General features: G+C 35.7%; 1 annotated feature.

The window, feature by feature from the left end:
• Positions 1,612 to 1,791: a silencer, noted in NCBI's record as "fragment chrX:25789605-25789784 (GRCh37/hg19 assembly coordinates)". NCBI's record gives its function as "represses an EF-1alpha promoter that drives an FKBP-Casp9 reporter gene in an ReSE screen in both phorbol 12-myristate 13-acetate-treated (for megakaryocytic differentiation) and untreated K562 erythroleukemia cells {active_cell/tissue: K562 | K562(+PMA)}" and the evidence as "EXISTENCE:reporter gene assay evidence [ECO:0000049][PMID:32094911]".

Consider the following 22,148-nt stretch of genomic DNA (forward strand, 5'->3'; position numbering starts at 1 on the left):
TCATCTCACAAAGGAAATATCAATACATTTAAAAAATTGAAATCATATTAAATATCTTCTAATATAAATATGTATGTATACTAGTGATTTATCTGTCTATTCTTTTGGATTTTTCTAAATAGTCATATTGTCTTGAATAGCAAGTATTTTATTTATTGCTTTCCAGCTCTTAAGACTTTTGTTTCATTTATTTTCTTTTGGATTGCTCGGAGATCTCCAGGATAAAACTGACTACTTGCAGTGCTAACAGGCATTTTCATTTTATCCCTATGTCAAAGGAAAATATTTCATCATTGTATCACTAAATATAATGCTCGTCCCCAAATCAACTTTTATCCGATTACAGAGGTGTCCCTCTTTTTGTGGGCTGCAAGAGGTTTATTTATTTATTTTTTCATTTCTTACATTTTTTGAGAAAACGATGATGTAATTATTCTTTCAATGTGGTGACTTACATTAATTAAACTACTAATGTGGCATTCTTCTATGATCCCATTATGTTCTTTAAAATTTTTAATTGACAAAATAGTATGTATGTATGGTGTACATATTTTAATAAGTGGGTACATTGTGGAATGGCTATTTGAAATGCACAATACCTCATATACTTAACATTTTTTTCATAATGATATCACTTAAAATCTACCTTTAGTAATTTTCAAGTATACAATATATTATATACAGTCACATGATGGACAATAAATATCTTGAACTGAGTCTTTCAGTCTAACAGTTATGTTCGTGGTGGTTTATCTATTTTGTGAATATCTGGATTTTTTTTTTTTTCAGACGGAATCTCCCTCTGTCGCCCAGGCTGGAGTGCAGTGGACCGATCTGGGCTCACTGCAAGCTCCGCCTCCCAGGTTCGTGCCATTCTCCTGCCTCGGCCTCCCAAGTAGCTGGGACTACAGGTGCCCACTACCACCCCTGGCTAATTTTTTGTATTTTTAGTAGAGACGGGGTTTCACCATGTTGGCCAGGATGGTCTCGATCTCTTGACTTCATGATCCACCCGCCTCGGCCTCCCAAAGTGCTGGGATTACAGGCATGAACCACCGCCCTGGCCAAATTTCTGGATTTTTAAATGCAGCTTGTAGGATTTTTGTGTTTGTGTTCTTGGGAAGGACAGACCTTTATTTTTCCTTTCTTGTAAAACCCTCATTGTGTTTTGGTATCAAGACTGTGTTGGTATTATAAAATTAGTTAATGGATTTTCCTTTTTATCCTATTCTTTGAAATACTTTGTTTCTGATGCATGTTATTTTTAAATGTTCGATATAATTTATTGGTTGAAGTTTGATTTAATACACTGATTTAGCAAGAAGATTTCTTTATGGGAAAACATGATTCATTTTTGAGAGGTAATATTCATAATTTCTATTTTTGTGGCAGTTTTGCTAAGTTTTGTTTTATAAGAAAATGATCTTCTGAAGCCTTCCTCTCTCAAATTGTCAAAGTCATTCTCCGTCCAGCTTTGTTCTGCTGCTGGTGAGGAGCTGTGTTCCTTTGGAGGAGGAGAGGCGCTGTGATTTTTAGAGTTTCCGGTTTTTCTGTTCTGTTTTTTCCATATCTTTGTGGTTTTATCTACCTTTGGTCTTTGATGATGGTGACGTACAGATGGGTTTTTGGTGTGGATGTCCTTTCTGTTTGTTAGTTTCCCTTCTAACAGCCAGGACCCTCAGCTGCAGGTCTGTTGGAATTTACTGGAGGTCCACTCCAGACGCTGTTTGCCTGGGTATCAGCAGCGGTGGCTGCAGAACAGCGGATATTGGTGAACCGCAAATGCTGCTGCCTGATCGTTCCTCTGGAAGTTTTGTCTCAGAGGAGTACCCGGCCATGTGAGGTGTCAGTCCGCCCCTACTGGGGGGTGCCTCCCAGTTAGGCTACTCGGAGGGTCAGGGACCCACTTGAGGAGGCAGTCTGCCCGTTCTCAGATCTCAAGCTGCGTGCTGGGAGAACCACTGCTCTCTTCAAAGCTGTCAGACAGAGATATTTAAGTCTGCAGAGGTTAGTGCTGTCTTTTGTTTGTCTGTGCCCTGCCCCCAGAGGTGGAGCCTACAGAGGCAGGCAGGCCTCCTTGAGCTGTGGTGGGCTACACCCAATTCGAGCTTCCCTTCCGCTTTGTTTACCTACTCAAGCCTGAGCAATGGCGGGCCCCCCTCCCCCAGCCTCGCTGCCTCCTTGCAGTTTGATCTCAGACTGCTGTGCTAGCAATGAGCGAGGCTCCCTGGGTGTAGGACCCTCCGAGCCATGTGCGGGATATAATCTTCTGGTGTGCCGTTTGTGAAGCCCGTGGGAAAAGCGCAGTATTAGGGTGGGAGTGATCCAATTTTCCAGGTGCTGTCTGTCACCACTTTCTTTGACTAGGAAAGGGAATTCCCTGACCCCTTGCGATTCCCAGGTGAGGCGATGCCTCGCCCTGCTTCAGCTCACACACGGTGTGCTGCACCCACTGTCCTGCACCCACTGTCCAGCACTTCCCTGTGAGATGAACCCGGTACCTCAGTTGGAAATGCAGAAATCACCCGTCTTCTGCGTCGCTCACGCTGGACTCAGCTCCGCACCAAGCGGACCTAATAGACATCTACAGAACTCTCCACCCCAAATCAACAGAATAGACATTCTTTTCAGCACCACACCACACCTATTCCAAAATTGACCACATAGTTGGAAGTAAAGCACTCCTCAGCAAATGTAAAAGAACAGAAATTATAACAAACTGTCTCTCAGACCACAGTACAATCAAACTAGAACTCAGGATTAAGAAACTCATTCAATACCGCTCAACTACCTGGAAACTGAACAACCTGCTCCTGAATGACTACTGGGTACATCATGCAATGAAGCCAGAAATAAAGATGTTCTTTGAAACCAATGAGAACAAAGACACAACATACCAGAATGTCTGGGACACATTCAAAGCAGTGTGTAGAGGGAAATTTATAGCACTAAATGCCCAGAAGAGAAAGCAGAAAAGATCTAAAATTGACCCCCTAACATCACAATTAAAAGAGCTAGAGAAGCAAGAGCAAACACATTCAAAAGCTAGCAGAAGGCAAGAAATAACTAAGATCAGAGCATAACTGAAGGAAATAGAGACACAAAAACCCTTCAAAAAATCAATGAATCCAGGAGCTGGTTTTTTGAAAAGATCAACAAAATTGATAGACCACTAGCAAGACCAATAAAGGAGAAAAGAGAGAAGAATCAAATAGACGCAATAAAAAATGACAAAGGGGATATCACCACCGATCCCACAGAAATACAAACTACCATCAGAGAATACTATAAACACCTCTACGCAAATAAACTAGAAAATCTAGAAGAAATGGATAAATTCCTGGACACGTACACTCTCCCAAGACTAAACCAGGAAGAAATCAAATCCCTGAGTAGACCAATAATAAGTTCTGAAATTGAGGCAGTAATTAATAGCCTACCAACCAAAAAAATTCCAGGACCAGACGGGTTCACAGCCAAATTCTACCAGAGGTACAAGGAGGAGCTGGTACCATTCCTTCTGAAACTATTCCAATCAACAGAAAAAGAGGGAATCCTCCCTAACTCATTTTATGAGGCCAGCATCATCCTGATACCAAAGCCTGGCAGAGACACAACAGAAAAAGAGAATTTTAGATCAATATCCTTGATGAACATTGATGCAAAAATCCTCAATAAAATATTGGCAAACCGAATCCAGCAACACATCAAAAAGCTTATCCACCATGATCAAGTGGGCTTCATCCCTGGGATGCAAGGCTGGTTCAACATATGAAAATCAATAAATATAATCCAGCATATAAACAGAACCAAAGACAAAAACCACATGATTATCTCAATAGATGCAGAAAAGGCCTTTGACAAAATTCAACAGCCCTTCATGCTAAAAACTCTCAATCAATTAGGTATTGATGGGACATATCTCAAAATAATAAGAGCTATCTATGACAAACCCACAGCCAATACCATACTGAATGGGCAAAAACTGGAAGCATTCCCTTTGAAAACTGGCACAAGACAGGGATGCCCTCTCTCACCACTCCTATTCAACATAGTTTTGGAAGTTCTGGCCAGGGCAATCAGGCAGGAGAAGGGAATAAAGGGCATTCAATTAGGAAAAGAGGAAGTCAAATTGTCCCTGTTTGCAGACGACATGATTGTGTATCTAGAAAACCCCATTGTCTCAGCCCAAAATCTCCTTAAGCTGATAAGCAACTTCAGCAAAGTATCAGGATACAAAATCAATGTGCAAAAATCACAAGCATTCTTATACACCAATAACAGACAAACAGAGAGCCAAATCATGAGTGAACTCCCATTCACAATTGCTTCAAAGAGAATAAAATACCTAGGAATCCAACTTACAAGGGATGTGAAGGACCTCTTCAAGGACTACAAACCACTGCTCAATGAAATAAAAGAGGATACAAACAAATGGAAGAACATTCCATGCTCATGGGTAGGAAGAATTAATATCGTGAAAATGGCCACACTGCCCAAGGTAATTTACAGATTCAGTGCCATCCCCATCAAGCTACCAATGACCTTCTTCACAGCTTTGGAAAAAACTACTTTAAAGTTCATATGGAACCAAAAAAGAGCCCTCATTGCCAAGTCTATCCTAAGCCAAAAGAACAAAGCTGGAGGCATCACGCTAACTGACCTGAAACTATACTACAAGGCTACAGTAACCAAAACAGCATGGTACTGGTACCAAAACAGAGATACAGACCAATGGAACAGAACAGAGCCCTCAGAAATAATTCCACATATCTACAACTATCTGATCTTTGACAAACCTGACAAAAACAAGAAATGGGGAAAGGATTCCTTATTTAATAAATGGTGCTGGGAATACTGGCTAGCCATATGTAGAAAGCTGAAACTGGATCCCTTCCTTAACACCTTATACAAAAATTAATTCAAGATGGAATAAAGACTTAAATGTTAGACCTAAAACCATAAAAACCCTAGAAGAAAACCTAGGCAATACCATTCAGGACATAGGCATGGGCAAGGACTTCATGTCTAAAACACCAAAAGCAATGTCAACAAAAGCCAAAATTGACAAATGGGATCTAATTAAGCTAAGGAGCTTCTGCACAGCAAAAGAAACTACCATCAGAGTGAACAGGCAACCTACAAAATGGGAGAAAATTTTTGCAACCTACTCATCTGACAAAGGGCTAATATCCAGAATCTACAATGAACTCAAACAAATTTACAAGAAAAAAACAAACAACCCCATCAAAAAGTGGGCGAAGGATATGAACAGACACTTCTCAAAAGAAAACATTTATGCAGCCAAAAAACATATGAAAAAATGCTCATCATCACTGGCCATCAGAGAAATGCAAATCAAAACCACAATGAGATACTATCTCACACCAGTTAGAATGGTGATCATTAAAAAGTCAGGAAACAACAGGTGCTAGAGAGGATGTGGAGAAATAGGAACACTTTTACACTGTTGGTGGGACTGTAAACTAGTTCAACCATTGTGGAAGTCAGTGTGGTGATTCCTCAGGGATCTAGAACTAGAAATTCCATTTGACCCAGCCATCCCATTACTGGGTATATCCCCAAAGGATTATAAATCATGCTGCTATAAAGACACATGCACGCTTATGCTTATTGAGGCACTATTCACAATAGCAAAGACTTGGAACCAACCCAAATGTCCAAAAATGATAGACTGGATTAAGAAAATGGGCACATATACACCATGGAATACTATGCAGTCATAAAAAAGGATGAGTTCATGTCCTTTGTAGGGACATGGATGAAGCTGGAAACCATCATTCTCAGCAAACTATTGCAAGGACAAAAAACCAAACACCGCATGTTCTCACTCATAGGTGGGAACTGAACAATGAGAACATATGGACACAGGAAGGGGAACATCACACACCGGAGCCTGTTGTGGGGTGGGGGGAGGGGTAGGGATAGCATTAGGAGATATACCTAATGCTAAATGACGAGTTAATGGGTGTAGCACACCAACATGGCACATGTATACATATGTAACAAACCTGCACATTGTGCACATGTACCCTAAAACTTAAAGTATAATAATAAAAAAAAAGAAAATGATGTCCATGTTATATAGATATTACAATGGTGCAAGATAAAAATTTGCATAATCTCTTATTTTTAAACTTTTAAGAACCTTAATGAGCCAGGCACGGTGGCTCACGCCTGTAATCCCAAGCTCTTTGGGAGGCTGAGTTGGGCGGATCACCTGAGGTCGGGAGTTCGAGACCAGCTTGGCCAGCATGGTGAAATTGCGTCTCTAGTAAAAATACAAAAATTAGCTGGGTTTGGTGGTGCATTTGTGTAATCCCCGTTACTCGGGAAGCTGAGGCAGGAGAATCGCTTGAACCTGGGAGGCGGAGGTTGCGGTGAGCCGAGATCGTGCCATTGCACTCCAGCCTGGGCAATAGAGCGAGACTCTGTCTCAAAAAAAAAAAAAAAGAAAGAACCTTAATGAATTATTTTTTATTGTTGGTATCATTGGTTTATGCTTTCTCTTTCTATCCTTTTTACTAGTCTTACCAGGGGTTTATTATTTTATTAGCATATTAAATACCAACTTTTGTCTTTGTGGGTTATTTATACTCGTATTTTTTTAGCCCATTACTTTTTTCTTTGTCATTTTGATTTTCACTTTCACTTTCTTTAATTTTTAATTTCTGTGGGTAAATAATAGGTGTATATATTTATGGGGTACACAAAATGTCTTGATACAAGCAGGTAATGTGTAATGATCACATTATGGATAATGGAGTATTCATCCTCTCAAACATTTATCCTTTGGTTACAAACAATTCAGTTGTAGTCTTTTAGTTATGTTAAGGTGTACAATTAAATTATTATTGACTATAGTCACACTGTTGTGTTATTGAATACTAGATCTTCTTCATTCTTTTTAATGATTACTTTATCCATTTACCATCTCAACCTTTCCCCCAACACACCACTGCCCTTCCCAGCCTCTGGTAACCATCCTTCTTGTACCATCTGTGTCCATGAGTTCAATTGTTTTGATTTTTAGATCCCACAAATAAGGGAGAACATCTGATGTTTGTCTTTCTGTACCTGGCTTATTAAACTTAATATAACGATCTCCAGTTCCATCCATGATGTTGCAAATGAAAGGATCTCATTCTCTTTAATGGCTGAGCAATACTCTGTTGTATATATGTACCACATTTTTTTATCCATTCATATGTTGATGGACACTTAGGTTGCTTCCAAATCTTAGCTATTGTGAGCAGCACTTCAGCAAACATGGGAATGCAGGGATATGTTTGATATACCAATTTCTTTTCTTGTGGGTTCAATCTCAGCAGTGGGATTGCCAGATCATATGCTGGCTCTGTTTTTTGTTTTTGGAACCTCCAAACTGTTCTTATAATGTTTGCACTAACATTCTGACCAGTAGTGTACAGGGTTCCCTTTTCTCCACATCCTCGCCAGCATTTGTTATTGCCCATCTTTTGGATATAAGTCATTTTAACCGGGGTAAGATGATACCTCATAGTAGTTTTGATTCGCATTTCTCTGTTGATCAGTGATGTCGACTACCTTTTCATAAACCTGGAAGCCATCTGTATGTCTTTTTCTTGAGAAATACTTAATCATATTGTTGTCCATTTTAAAATTAGATTATTTGATATTTTCCTATGGAATTGTTTGTTGGAGCTCCATATAAGGAGCTCAGGTTATTAATCAGTTGTCAGATAGGTACTTTGCAAATATTTTCTCCCATTCTTTGGGTTGTCTCTTCACTTTGTTGATTGTTTCCTTCGCTTCACAGAAGCTTTTTAACTTGATGTGATCCCATTAGTCCATTTTTGCTTTGGTTGCCTGTGCTTGTGGGGTATTACTCAAGAAATCTTTGCCTAGGCCAATGTTCTGGAGATTTTCTCCATTGTATTATTGTAGTAGTTTCATAGTTTGTAGTTTCTTGTTTAAATTATGTCTTTAATCCATTTTGATTTGAGTTTTGTATAGGGTGACATATACAGATCTAGTTTTATTCTTCCTCATATGGATATCCAGTTTTCCAAGCACCATTTATTGAAGAGACTGTCTTTTCCCCAGTGTATGTTCTTGGCACCTTTGTCAAAAATGAGTTCATTGTAGGTGTGTGGATTTGTTTCTGAGTTCTCTATTGTATTACGTTGGTCTGTGTGTCTGCTTTTATGCTAGTAGCATGCTGCTCTGGTTACTATAGCTCTGGAGAATATTTTGAGGTCAGGTAATGTGATTCCTCCAGTTTTGTTCTTTTTTGTTTAGGATAGCTTTGGCTATTCTGGGTCTGTTGTGATTCCATATAAATTTTAGAATTTTTTTTTCTATTTCTGTGAAGAATGTCATAGGTATTTGGATAGGGATTATTTATTCCTTTCCAATTCTTAAGACTTCTGTTTCATTTTTTCTTTTTGATTGCTCAGAGATCTCCAGGATAAAATTGACTACTTGCAGTGCTAACAGGCATTTACTTACTACAGACTCATGCACTATTGTTGTCATGTATTTTTTATTTGCTTTCTCTCTCCATTCCAATGAAGATCTGATTATTACTTTATACTGCCAATATTTATTTATATTTACCCATTTCCTTTTCCTGTGTTCTTCTTTTCTTCTTGCATTTTTGAATCTTCCATTTGCTTCATTTTACTTCTGCCCTAAAATCCACCTTGAGTATTTCTTTAGAAGGGGATCTGTTTGTGATGAATTGTGTTTTATTTGTTTGAAAATGTTTTTATTTTATCTTTATTTTTAAATAAAATTTTACTGTAAAGAGAAATATAAATTGGCCATTATTCCTTTCAGACCTTGATTATATCATCTCATTGTTTTCTGGTGTTCCTTAATTTTTGGGGAAGTCAGATATTTGTTCTTGTTTTAAACTTATTTTTAAGTCTTAGTTTTACTTTTTGAAGCTAATATGATATTTTCACACTGGACACTTTATATTTTCTTTTGTCTTTGATTTTCAGCAGTTTCATTAGAATATTTTTAGATGTGATTCTCTTTGAATTGATCCTGCTAGATGTTCATGTTACTTCTTTAATCTATACCTTGATGCCTTTCATCAGATTAGGAAAATTCTTAGGAATTATTTCTTCAAATATTGGTTCTGTCCTAATCCCTCTTACCTCTCTTTGAAGTACCAAATCTTAGGCTAACCTCTTTTCTGGATCTTAGCCTTACAGGTGCTCACTGCCTTGGTAGCTGTTCAATGCCTTTAAAGGGAGACTTTTTTGTAAAATATTTTAGTTATATAATCTATCTTTTCTCAGAGGGAGAATTGGTTGGAATCAACCTATTTTGTCATTGCTATAACTCAAAATCTATGAAATACAACTTAGTACAATCCAAATGAATGAAGTTATTCAAGCAAAATCCTAAAAACAGTATCAATTAGCTTGTTAATCTTTCATCTGTTAAAATTCTTAATATCATTTTACATTTCATTTTATATATTAATTTATGTATATTATAGTATAAAACCTGTAGTGTTAATATAATCTTTTATTGTTTCACTAGACCATGTATCACTCTCTCAGAAGAGTACACTTGTGCTATCCTAATTTCCCCCTAGGGTTTTCTCAGACAAGTGTTGTAATTCAAGACTGGGAACTAATGGAAAAAACATCTCTTATCACTTCACTCATTTTATTTTATTTTATTTATTTTTTGAGACAGAGTTTCGCTCTTGTCACCCAGGCTGGAGTGCAGTGGCACGATCTCGGCTCACTGTAACCTCCGCCTCCCGGGTTCAAGCGATTCTCCTGCCTCAGGCTCTGGAGTAACTGGGATTACAGGCGCCCACCACCATGCCCGGCTAATTTTTTGTATTTTTAGTAGAGATGGGGTTTCACCATGTTGGTCAGGCTGGTCTCTAACTCCTGACCTCAGGTGATCCACCTGCCTCGGCCTCCCAACACGCTGGGATTACAGGTGTGAGCCACTGCACCCAGCTATCATCGCATTCTTTAATAGAGTCATTTGGTTTTGTTTCTAAGCTAGCCAAAGAGTATCAGCAAATTACCTGGCTATGAAATCACAACTTATCATATAGTTTTCACAATGTGATATCAAATAGAAGTGATTTTTTTCAGAGATCTCTTGACTACTATTGGAGTGATAAAATTGACATGGATTTTTATCATGTCCTTATTCCAAGTGTATTGTTCATTTCTCATCTTTAGAGTGATATGTACCTTTCACTTACAAAAGGCATATATGGGTTTATATAACAATGAAATTAAACCATTAAGGACTGGGTTGCTAAAAGCCTAGATAGAAAGAGAGAGGGCATAGGATTCGTGGCCACAATTTAGTAGCTGGTTATATATTCTTATTCCCAGACTCTGAACTTACAGCTGAAACATAGACAATGTTGAACTCAAATGTTAGTAAACCCATGCCAACATTAGTAGAAGTGATGGGCATCAGAAGCCATGGTTTCTTCTTCTCTGCTGTGTGTATCAGGAAGCAAAGGACATGGCAACATATTTTATTAGTAAAGGACAGGTAAGGAAGATCATGGCAGATTCTACTGTGAAAGGCAAGATTCTTGTATGTACACATACAGTAATTTCCTAATGAATTCTGTCTTCAAAATTCAGTATATTTCGATTTTTTCCCCAAAACACACTTATGGCAGACAGTAATCAGAATATCAGATGAGAAATCAAGCCTCAAATTGTCATTCTCTCTCTATTACTGATGTTATCTATTCAAGGATTTTTGTGGCCAAAAAAAGTAAAAAATTATGCTGGCAGTGAATTAAACTCAGTAACTGCTTTATGGCCTTCTCATTAATCTTGGCAAGTTGAAAACCCAGAAAGGATTTCTGTCAACACAAAGAATAATTATCAGTGCTGCTTTTCTTAACCTAGGTAATGGTAATAATTGGAAGCTGAATTCTTTCCTTCTTTCATTTATTATTAATTCATTAACTCACTTGACAATCATGTACTGAGCACTTTTAGTGATCTAGAGACTATCTAGTTCCCTAGAACTTCCACGTACTTGGCACTCCAATCCTGTGTCAAAAAGTCCTCAATGCCTCTGCTGTTCACTAATAATGCCTCTGTTTAATAGCTTTAAACAGACAACTAAAAAAAAAGTATCTGTTGTTTTAGTCCATCGTTTCTAGTTGTTCTTAGCAGGAGGTTGATTCTGACCTATAATAAACTATAGGAAATACTCAATTTTCAGGGTAGTGCAAGACCATAAAAATGACTGTGCAATTTGAAATAATGCAATATGATTTTAATAACCAATGGGAAAATTGTGATTATTTTATGACCGTTGAAAATTCTTATCAAAATATTAAAACCGTCTTCATTTATAAATGTGGAGGGATAAAAATAGTCAAACAAATGTTTATTTAGTACCATGTAAATTAAAATGTTAGGGACATTGAGAATTAAAGTGTTTTATTTCTTTGTGAACAACTTATCCAGAACAGTTTGAACAGTGCTAGCTTTCTCCTTGTAAAACTTATGAAATATAGCAGGAGTCTTTTCCCTGCCATGGTGAATTGCCATACTATTTTTTCTCAGATTGGATCAACTTCTAACATTTTATCCTTTGTTCGTTAAATGTTATGAAATATCTCCAAGGGTTCCTTTAATGTGAATATTTTTGCTGGCATCACTTCCTCTGGGACAGCATCATTCTTTTTGTCATGACTACTTCTATCAATTATTCCATTAAGTTCACCTTTACCAAGTTTCTCTGGCTATATACCTAGATTCCCTCAAATGGTAGTGGTATTATCATTCCCATGGTCAACTCTTTCTTCCATAAATCCATATACATTCTATTTGAATTTCACTTCCAGCATTATTACTCTTTACTTCTTTGTTTCACTTACATTTTGTTGCCCAATTCCCTCTTTGGATTACCAATTTGTGTAAAATGTCACATAGGTTTATCATGGGGGAAACAAGGAGGCAACACAACTATGCACTTTGCTGTCTGTGTGAGTACTGAATGCCCAGTAATCAATCACTGACAGACTTTGAAAGAAGAGATGTGAGTTGTTACCTGTCATGAGACACACTGTTATTTATGTTATCTGTTATTCAGATCTGTAGACTGAAGAGCTGGCAAAAAAGTTTATACTTTAAGCAATTTCTCACAGTTAATATATTATGACAAATGAAATTTGAATGGTGTTGTCTGGGACTGGTGTTATTTAGCTAAATTGTGGTAACTGAAATGTATGTATATCAGGACCATGTGAAGGAAGGACTGTATATATAAGCATATTCCACTTAATGAAAACATCTTACCATAGGTAAGACTTGTTTTAGTGAAGTCACCACGAAAATGCACTTTTCTCAGGATTCTGACCAAGTACGTCACCAGACAAAGACAAATTCAGTAGCTTCATTTTAGTGGCTTGCTAGCATCTCAGTATTTTTGGATCCTCTGCATAATGAGAGATTCCTTTATTCAGCAAACATTTAATGAAGCACTGGGTTTAGAGTACAGTATTGGACAAATAGAATATTAAAAATATCAGAAACTTCACAGATCACGAATGTGAAATTATTCGTAAATGTTAATGGAACCAAGAGATTTCACTTGACTAATGGTAGAACAGGTCTAAACGGGGAGATAGCCAGATGGAAGATGATGAATAAAATGATCCCAGACTTTTGCAGTTGTCTGTAACTGCAATGAAGGAGAGAATGGTGTTGCTGGATGCCAGCTATGGTGCCACTATAAAGATGAGCCAACTGAACTGCCAAAGTTTTATAGTTTTCATCTGGTTAATTCCTTACTTATAATCATCATATTACTTTCAATATTTTTTGCTTAGGTAGTGTTGTAGGAATTTCATTTATTATATGAAAGTCAAACAAAATATACCCCATCATATGATATTGTGAAATTAACTATGTGGCATGGAATAAATAATGTTTAATAACTCAAAATGTTGTTATCACTGCAGACTCATTGAATGACAGCAGAAAGCCATTTAAATTTTTTTGTGTTTCAGTTTCCAAGACGTTTAAGAGTGATAATAAGAGCTTACCCACATCGTGAAGATGTGGAATTTATAAAGGCGTGGTTCTAAAGTATTTTGAAAATTTTGAATAAAAAGTGTTAAACTTATTTTAAATCTATTTGCTAAGTTATTACCCGAATCAAACCATTGTAGTAGTAGATACTTCCTAAATTTAATTATTGTTTTTAATGTTATGTGCGTGCTCAGATAAATTTTATTTAGTTATCAATGCCAAATTAAGTGTTTCATAAGGAGTAGTAGTATGAGTAATATGACTCCTAATATTGAGGCAATTTACTTATACTTTTAAGTGCTTTGTAAAAGGATATATTAGATTGAACCACATAACAGTGCAATTTTTGTAGGTCAAAAATGTTCAAGTATTGGGAATTTCATATAGTTTAACCTAAATAAAAAGTCAAGGATGAATTTGATTTCTACCGTGTATCCTAGCTAAGGCTTTTAATCTCTAAGTCCCAGTTTCTCAACTATAAATTGGGTGTGATGCCGTCTGCCCTTCCAAAAAAAAAATAATAAGTATTTTTTTCTCTCGTCTTATCCTTCTATTTATGTCTGTCTCCTACCAGCCTATCTATACATCATGATAGATCTTTTATATATTGTCTGTGTGAAATTGACCAAGTTACTTAACATCTCAATCTCAATTTTCAACTATAAATTTGAAATGATAATAATAGTAAATACTACATTGAACTGCTATTCACATTAAGGAGGCAAACATGTTAAGTATTTAAAATAGAACTTGGTACATAGTACATGTTTAAAAAATATAAAGTATTATTTTTATAACATTAGCACAGAAATTAAGCATTATTCCTCATGTTTAATGTTATATTTTTATCTAGTCAGAAAACTATCTGTTTTGGGGCAAGATCCTTCTATGATTACTAACGTATTCTGATGAATAAAAAACTGACTAGATAAAAGTTATCTAGTCAGAAAACTTTCTGTTGTGAGGCAAGATCTTGCTGTGATTACTAAAGTATTCTAATGAATATAAAAACTGTATCGTCATTCCATTGTACATAACTAGGCAGTTTAAATGCTTAATTGAATTAATTTTTCATTTATTGATTACATTTGCTTCCAAATCATTCGTAGTATAATGTGTTCATCTAGTGCTAAGAAATTACTTCAGAATACTGCAGAGCCTGAGGGTCTGTCTTATAACCATCTGTTATAATAGCATTATGGGTGTGTAGATGATTCAATTAATGGAGAATGTTAGTTAATAGAGTATTCGATAAAATAGATTGTATTGTGTTGTCTAATTGATTCATCTTTATTTAAAAAGAATTTCTTTTTTTTTCATTATTGGCAGGCATAGTTTTCTTTTTCTGGTTTAATCTGTTCTCCATAAGTGATTGTCTAAATTGAATAACTCAAATTGGAAGGTACTGCTGTAATGCCTTTTCTACAAATATCTGTGATACCAATTGGAAGAGCACTGGTATCCATGTTGATCTTGTCCTCTTTGAAAAGCAATTGTGCCAAAACTGCTTTGTTTGCCTCCATTTGACCACACTTGAATCCATCTGGCTTCTGACTCTTGGCTCCATCTCTGCTACCAGTGACTCTGCTACTCTCTTTGGACTGGATGCTTCTTTCTAGCCAACGTGGCTTTAACTCTTGGATTTATCTCAAGGACTTTGGCTTGTATTTGGACAAGGATGCTCTTCAGGGGGCCCTGAATATAATGATTTCCTCACAATCTGTTTCTTTGGCCAATTAAGGCCGGACTAGCAACAGACTGGGCTTGACTGGCCAGAAGATTCACCTAATGCAAAAGAGCATTGAAAGATGGGGGCTTTCATCAAGGCTGTATCAGAACCTTTAAACTTATTCAGAATTAGTTATTTCAACAGCCTTCTATTACTCTTGGGGGAAAACAGAGTTTGTGAGTCAAAATAAATGATTGAAGGTTTCAAAGAAACATCATTCAATAGGACCCTTGTCTTACACCATATACAAAAATCAACTCCAGATGGATTAAAGACTTAAATATAAGACCTGGAACTATAAAAAATACTAGAAGAAAACATAGGAGAAAAGCTCCATGACATTGATCTGGGTTGAATTTGACTTCAAAGTGTATGGGATTATATCAAACTAAAAACTTTTTACATCGTAAAGAAAACATTAACAGAGTGAAGAGGTAACATATAGATTGGGGAAAAATGTTTGTAAACCTATATGTAATAAGGGGTTAATATTCAAAATATATAAGGAACTCAATGGCAAAGTAATAAATAACCCAGTTTAAAAATGGGTAAAGGACCTGAATAGAAATTTCTCAAAAGAAGACATAAAAATGGCCAACAGGTATATAAGAAATACTCAACATTGGTAATCATTAGGGAAATGCAAATTGAAATCAAAATTATATATCATCTCACACCTGTCAGACTGGCTATAATAAAAAAAGACGAAAGATAATAAACGTTGGTGAGAACATAGGGAAAAAGAAACCCTTGTGCACTGTTGGTAGGAATGTAAATTAGGACAGCCATTGTGGAAATATGTATGGAGGTTCTTTGAAAGACTAAAAATAGAATTACCATATGATCCAGAAATCCCACTCCTGGGTATATACCCAAAAGATTTGAAATCAGAATGTCAGAGATGTCTCCACTCCCATGTTTATTGCAGCGCTATTCACAATAGCCAAGTTATGGAATCAGCCTAAGTGACCATCCACAGATTAATGGATAAAGAAAATGTGGTATATATACAAAATGGAATACCATTAATCCTTATATAATAAGGAAATTCTGTCATTGGCAGCAACATGGATGGAATTGCGAACATTTTGCTAAGTAAAATAAGCCAGGCACAGAAAGACAAATACATGTTTTCAATTATATCTGTAATCTAAAACAATTAAACTCATAGAAACAGAGAGTGGAATGGGGGTTATAGAGCCTGGGGTAGGGGAAGTGAGGAAATAATGGTCTAAGGGTACAAAGTCTAAGTTTGACAGGAGGAATAAGGTTTTTTGTTGAGATCTATTGTACAGTGTGGTGAATATAGTTAATGATAGTGTATTGTACATTTCAAGATCGCTAAGAAAGTAAATTTCAAAGTTCTCACCACAAAAATAAGTATTTGAGGTGATGGATATATGAATTAGCAATTATTCCACATTGCATTTATACACCATAACATTACTTTGTACCTAGTAATATATACAATTATAAATTGACAGTTTACAATAACAATTTTTAAAGAGGGGTCATTGGACCCAGATAGTTAAAAAAAGGAAACAAGTATAGAGTTCTACTTAAAACACTAGAGATACATGTCTGTCTGTTTCTCTGTAGTGCTACTGAATACCATATCAGAAAATATAGCCATATGTTTCTCCCTCTGCTGTAAAATGCCTGGCACAATGACATTGTCTATCAACCTTCATAAATACTGTTGGTCTTCGGTATATATAAATACTGTTGGTCTTCAGTATCTATGGGTTCTGCATCCATGGATTCAACCAATAGGGGATTGAAAATATTCTGAAAATAAAAACAATAAAGTAGCAATACAACAATGAAAGTAATACACATTTTAAAACCAATACAGCATAACAACTATTTACATAGCTTTTACATCGTATTAGGTATTGTAGGTAATCTAGAGATGATTTAACATACATAAAAGGATGTACACAGGTTATATGCAAGCCCTCTGCCATTTTATTATATAAAGGACTTGAGCACCCATGGACTTTGGTATCCACCGGGTTGTAGAACCAATCCCCCATGGATACCGAAGGACAACTGTGTTAGAGAAGATTTCCCATTTCTGCTACTCAGAAGAAAATACAAGCAACACAAATCTCAACGAGACAGATTAGAGAGCTTTCATGATATTTGAGGTCAATTTTCCAACAAGCATTCTTTGCAGGTATGATTAAATTCTGTGTGGTTTTCAAGTATCAACTTAGAAGTGAAGTTTCTCTTTTTTTTTATATGTCTGACATAAAACACTGATGGTTTCCAATAATACAATAAAAATTGTTGACATTTTCAGTTTTCAATTAGCAATATTGTTTTAAGCCCTTACTTTGAAGTAAAACTTCACACATTTATGACATTTATAAATGAAAGCATTTGGCTGACTGATTTTAATGGTTGAATCATGAGAGATGCAAATTTCAGAAAAGTGAAAACTGCTATTTGTTTTTCTATTATGTAGTCTTGTTAGTATTTCAGTATAGCCATTTGTTTTAAACATGTCAACTTTCTTTAATTGTTCCATTTAGCAATCACTACTTGCTATATCCTATTTAAGTGATCTTGGAACATGTGTAGGCTAAAGGCAAGGTTAGTGTTCTGAATATGGGAACAAGATTTGAATATTTTTTAAGGTCAAATAAAGTTTGATATGTGACTGACCTGAAGCTGGGGGGAGGTCATATTCACAAAGAATTCCAACCAAGTACAAGGCCCAAGCAGATCAGTATTGCTGCATGGCAGATGTTAAAGCACTTCAGAGATGGTAGAAGCCCAGGAAGATACATTTAATGAGGAAGTCCAGTAGTGTGTTCTGGGGAGCCAGACTGTAGAAAACTGGGATGTAGGCAAAGATGGTGAGGTTAGAAGACAGGCTACAAGAACAGTGGTAAGATGTAATAAAATGTGTTTAGAGAACGGTGAAGGAAATCCAGTTACCAAGGATTCAGAGGAAACAAAGGGCCAAGGCAAGTTTGATGTTGTTTTCCTGAACTGACTAATAATGTTGCCCCTGGACAAAAATTAGTCCTAGATAATGGGGTAATAAGGATGGACCTAAATGTGAGGAAGAAAAATGTTAACTTTACTGTGTTAACATTTTATAATGAAGGAAGTAAAACAGACTGTTGTAACATAAACCTCCTCTAGGATGCTGGCGGTGAAGGAGGAAATTCAAAGGTGAATTCAAGATGCCTCTTGAGGGAAGAATTGATTGAATTTGCAGATTAGTTGGAGGTGGAGAAAATGTCTGTGAGCTTTTTAAACTCAGTGCACCTGGGACCAGCTCACAGAAATAAAACATATAAACCAATCAGAGATACTCTTTGGGGTGAGGAGGAGGATCAGCTTTGTGTTAAGCATGCTGAGTTAAATGTGGTTGTGGAAACAGTTATGAACACAAGTGAGCCATGTGAGGAAAAATATCACGTCTCACCACTATGAATATTCTTTTATTCTTTATGTCACCATTTATGTGACACCATTTATTCTTTATGTCACCATTTGCTGGCATCAATAATGTTTCTACCACTTGCAGTTCTGAGTACACTATTGAGATAACAGAGAAGGCAAAACATTTAAATTTATAAAGAACATTTGGCCATTATTCTTATGACTCACTAATTTGAAATTAAAAATAAATGACACTAAAGTATACATTATTTTAGCCAAAGGGTCAAATTCATTAAAAATATAAAATATTGAGTCTGTAGGCAACTCCAGGGGGATGTCATTTATATCACAGCATATATGAGAAAACATCCTAGAATTGTACATTGCACAAGAAGCTGTCTGAGTAGCTATTCTCACTGATATCAGATAAGGTGTTCATAAGTACATTTTAAAATAAAATAACAGTTATGATTTGAAAGTAAACAAATAAGAAGTAAAATGAAACAAAATATCCTATTCCTATCACAAATTTTAAGCCTAAGAACAAAGTTAACCCAAAATGCAGAAGAACTATATGAAGAAAATCACAAGACTTCTTAGCAGAAGAATAGGCTAAATGAAGTCAAATATTATTTTCCTGGATGGATGTTTCAGTACTGTAAAGATGGTCAGTTTATCTCAAGTCAATCTATGCATTTAACACAGTTATCACAAAAATCCCAATGGTGTATTTCTTTTCCTGCACCTGAGAATAAGGATTCTATAGTTTATTTGAAAAACTAAACATATGAGAATAGCACAGACAGATTTTAGAAAAAAAAATGTATTGAGTATTATGTAACATTTTGGTAGTACTTAGTCTTACAGATATGATAATGTATTAGAAAATTACAGTAGCCAAAATAAATATTGGTGTACAGATTGATAGATAAATGACTTGAGAAAAATTGAAAGTATAGAAAAAGATGTAATTTTACACATAAGTGTATCATACTATAATGTTGGCATTTCAAATCAGCATTAAAATATTAGATTAGATTATACATTAAATGCTGTAGAAAACAGGTCAAGTATGTAAGATGAATAATAAACTTAGATGGCCATATAATACCTCAAATAATATAATTTTGACATGAGGGAGGGATTTCATAAGGGAAGAGCATGACAGTAAACAATCCATAAAAATTATAAACTTGAGTACCTAAGTATTAATAATGTCTAACTAGTTAAAAACATATAAAATCTACTGAAAAATATAGCATCATGCAACAGGCGGAAGGGCTTATCCCATAATAAAAGTTCTTACAATTGATAAGAAAAAAATGGATCCTCGTAGCGAAAGATGCTAAAGATATGAAGATGTAATCTATCAAATACAAAATACAAAGACAAAATGCGAAGTTCTAAAGTCTCAAATCATTCTGGTAATAAAAGAATTTGAAATTTGTAAATATATCAATATAACCTTAATATTGAAACATTACAAAGACATAACAAGAAAGAAATATTACAGTCCAATCTCTCACATAAAAAAGATGCACAAATTCTAAATCAAAATGTTAACATATGTCTTGTAGGTTAAATTGTGTCTGTCCCAAACTCATGTTGATATCCTGTCCCCTTAGAATGTAACCTTATTGGGAGATAGGGTCTTTACAGAGGTAATCAAATTAAAATGAAGACATTAGAGTGGGCCCTAATAAAAAAGGACTTGATTCCCTATGAAAAGGGGAAATTTAGAGACAGGTATCGAGGGAAATCACCAAGTAAACATAGACAGCTAACAAGCCATGGAGAGAGGCCTGGAACAGATCCATCCTTCAGAGCTCTCAGAAGGAACCAATCCTGCCTGTACCTTGATTTTGGACGTCACACCTCTAGAACTGTGAGACAATAAATTTCTGTTGTTTAAGCCACACAGTTTCTGGTACTTTATTATGCCAGCCTTAGAAAATGAATACAATATCTAATCCAACAATGCAGAAAAAGTCTGATATATTACAAATGAGAAGGATTAATATTCCTTGGATGCAGAGTAACTTTTTTGTTAAAAAATTAATGTAATTTAGTACATTAACAAAAAAGGGAAATAAATCATAAGATTATCTCAGTAGATGCAAAAATTTGACAAGTACAACAACCACTAATAATTTTAAAAATCTTCGTAAATTAAGGATAGCAGGGAACCTCTTTTGATGAAGAATGTCTACAAAAGTTGTACAGCAATGCTTATAGTTGATGGCAAACTATTGAAAGCTTTCCCCCAGAAATTGGGAATGAGACAAGGATGCTTGCTCTCACACTTCTATTCAACATAATAAGGGAAGTTGCCAATGTAATAAGTCAAGAAAAAGAAGTAAAATGCACACAGAATAGAAGAAATAAAAAAGAATACAGACTGGAATGGAAGAACTAAAAGTGAGAAAACTCAAAAACATATACAGATAAAATTAGCAACATAAAAATGCAAAAAATCAATTATATATGGCAGAAATGAACACATAGAAAATGAAATGTTAAAAGATACTATTTACAATAGCATTAAATACCTGGGGAAAAAAAACCCATCAAAATATTTACAAGTCCTCTACACTAAAAATTACAAAACATTCTCAACATAGATAAAGAAGACCTAAATAAATGTTTAGGGATTTTTAAAATAAATTTTAAATTAGGGAAAATTTAATGTTCAGCGATGGCAGTTCTCCTCTGCTTACTTTATGGACCGAATACAATCACGGTCAAAATCCTAGCAGATTATTTTATTAATTTATTTTTGGGAGAGTCCGACAAACTAAATCTAAAATTCATATGGTAATCAAAGGGCCCAAAATAACCAAGGCAGTCTTGACAAAAAACAAAGCGGGAGGATGTTCACTCCAGATACCAAGATCTATTATAAAGCTCTAATGATTACAACAGTCTGGTGTTGATGCACAGGTAGATAAACTGATCGGTGAAACAGAATAGCCCCAAAACAATCTGACACACACATGGTTATGTGATTTATGACAAATATGACATTATGGTGCAGTGGGAAAAGAATAGTTTACTAAATGGTGTTGAGTGTATTCATTATACAGATTGAAAAAGGCATGTCTGTACTATACTTCATAGAGTATACAAAAAACACTTCCAGATGGATTTCAGTACTAATTATGATATGAAAACCACTGTAGTTTTAGGAGAAAACATAGGAAAACATCTTCATGATTCTGTAGTAGTCAGAGATTTTCGAACAGGATATGAGAAACACTACCCAATAAGGAAAGAAAAATGACACAGTAGGGCATATGAGAATCAAGAACTTCTGTTCATTAAAAGACACCATTAAGAAAGTAAAAATGCAACCCAGAAACTGTAAGAAAATATTCTCAGGCCAGGCATGGTAGCTCACGCCTGTAATCCCAGCACTTTGAGAGGCCAAGGCGGGTGGATTGCTTGATGTCGGGAGTTCGAGACCAGCCTGGCCAACATGGCGAAACCCTGTCTCTACTAAAAATACAAAAAGTAGCAGGGCGTGGTGGCACGTGTATGTAATTCCAGCTACTCGGAAGGCTGAGGCAGGAGAATCACTTGAACCCAGGAGGTGGAGGTTGCAGTGAGCCAAGATCATGCCACTCTGCAAAGGCAGCCAAATCAAAGATAGACAAATGAGATTTTATCAAGGTAAAAAGCTTCATGCAGAAAATAAAACAATCAACAGAGTGAAGTGACAAACTACAGAATGGGATAAAATATTTGGAAACTGTCCATCTGACAAGGGGTTAATAATCAGAATATGTAAGGAATTCAACTTAATAGCAAACAAAACCAAAAACAACCCAAATGATCAAATTTATTTAAAAATGGGCAAATGATCTGAAAAGACGTTTCTCAAAAGAATATATACAAATGACCAACAGGTATAAAAAATGTTCAACATTACTAGTCATCAGAGAAACGCAAATCAACACCACAATGAG

The sequence above is a fragment of the Homo sapiens genome, chromosome X (assembly GCF_000001405.40).
Source record: "Homo sapiens chromosome X, GRCh38.p14 Primary Assembly".
NCBI classification, from domain to species: domain Eukaryota; kingdom Metazoa; phylum Chordata; class Mammalia; order Primates; family Hominidae; genus Homo; species Homo sapiens.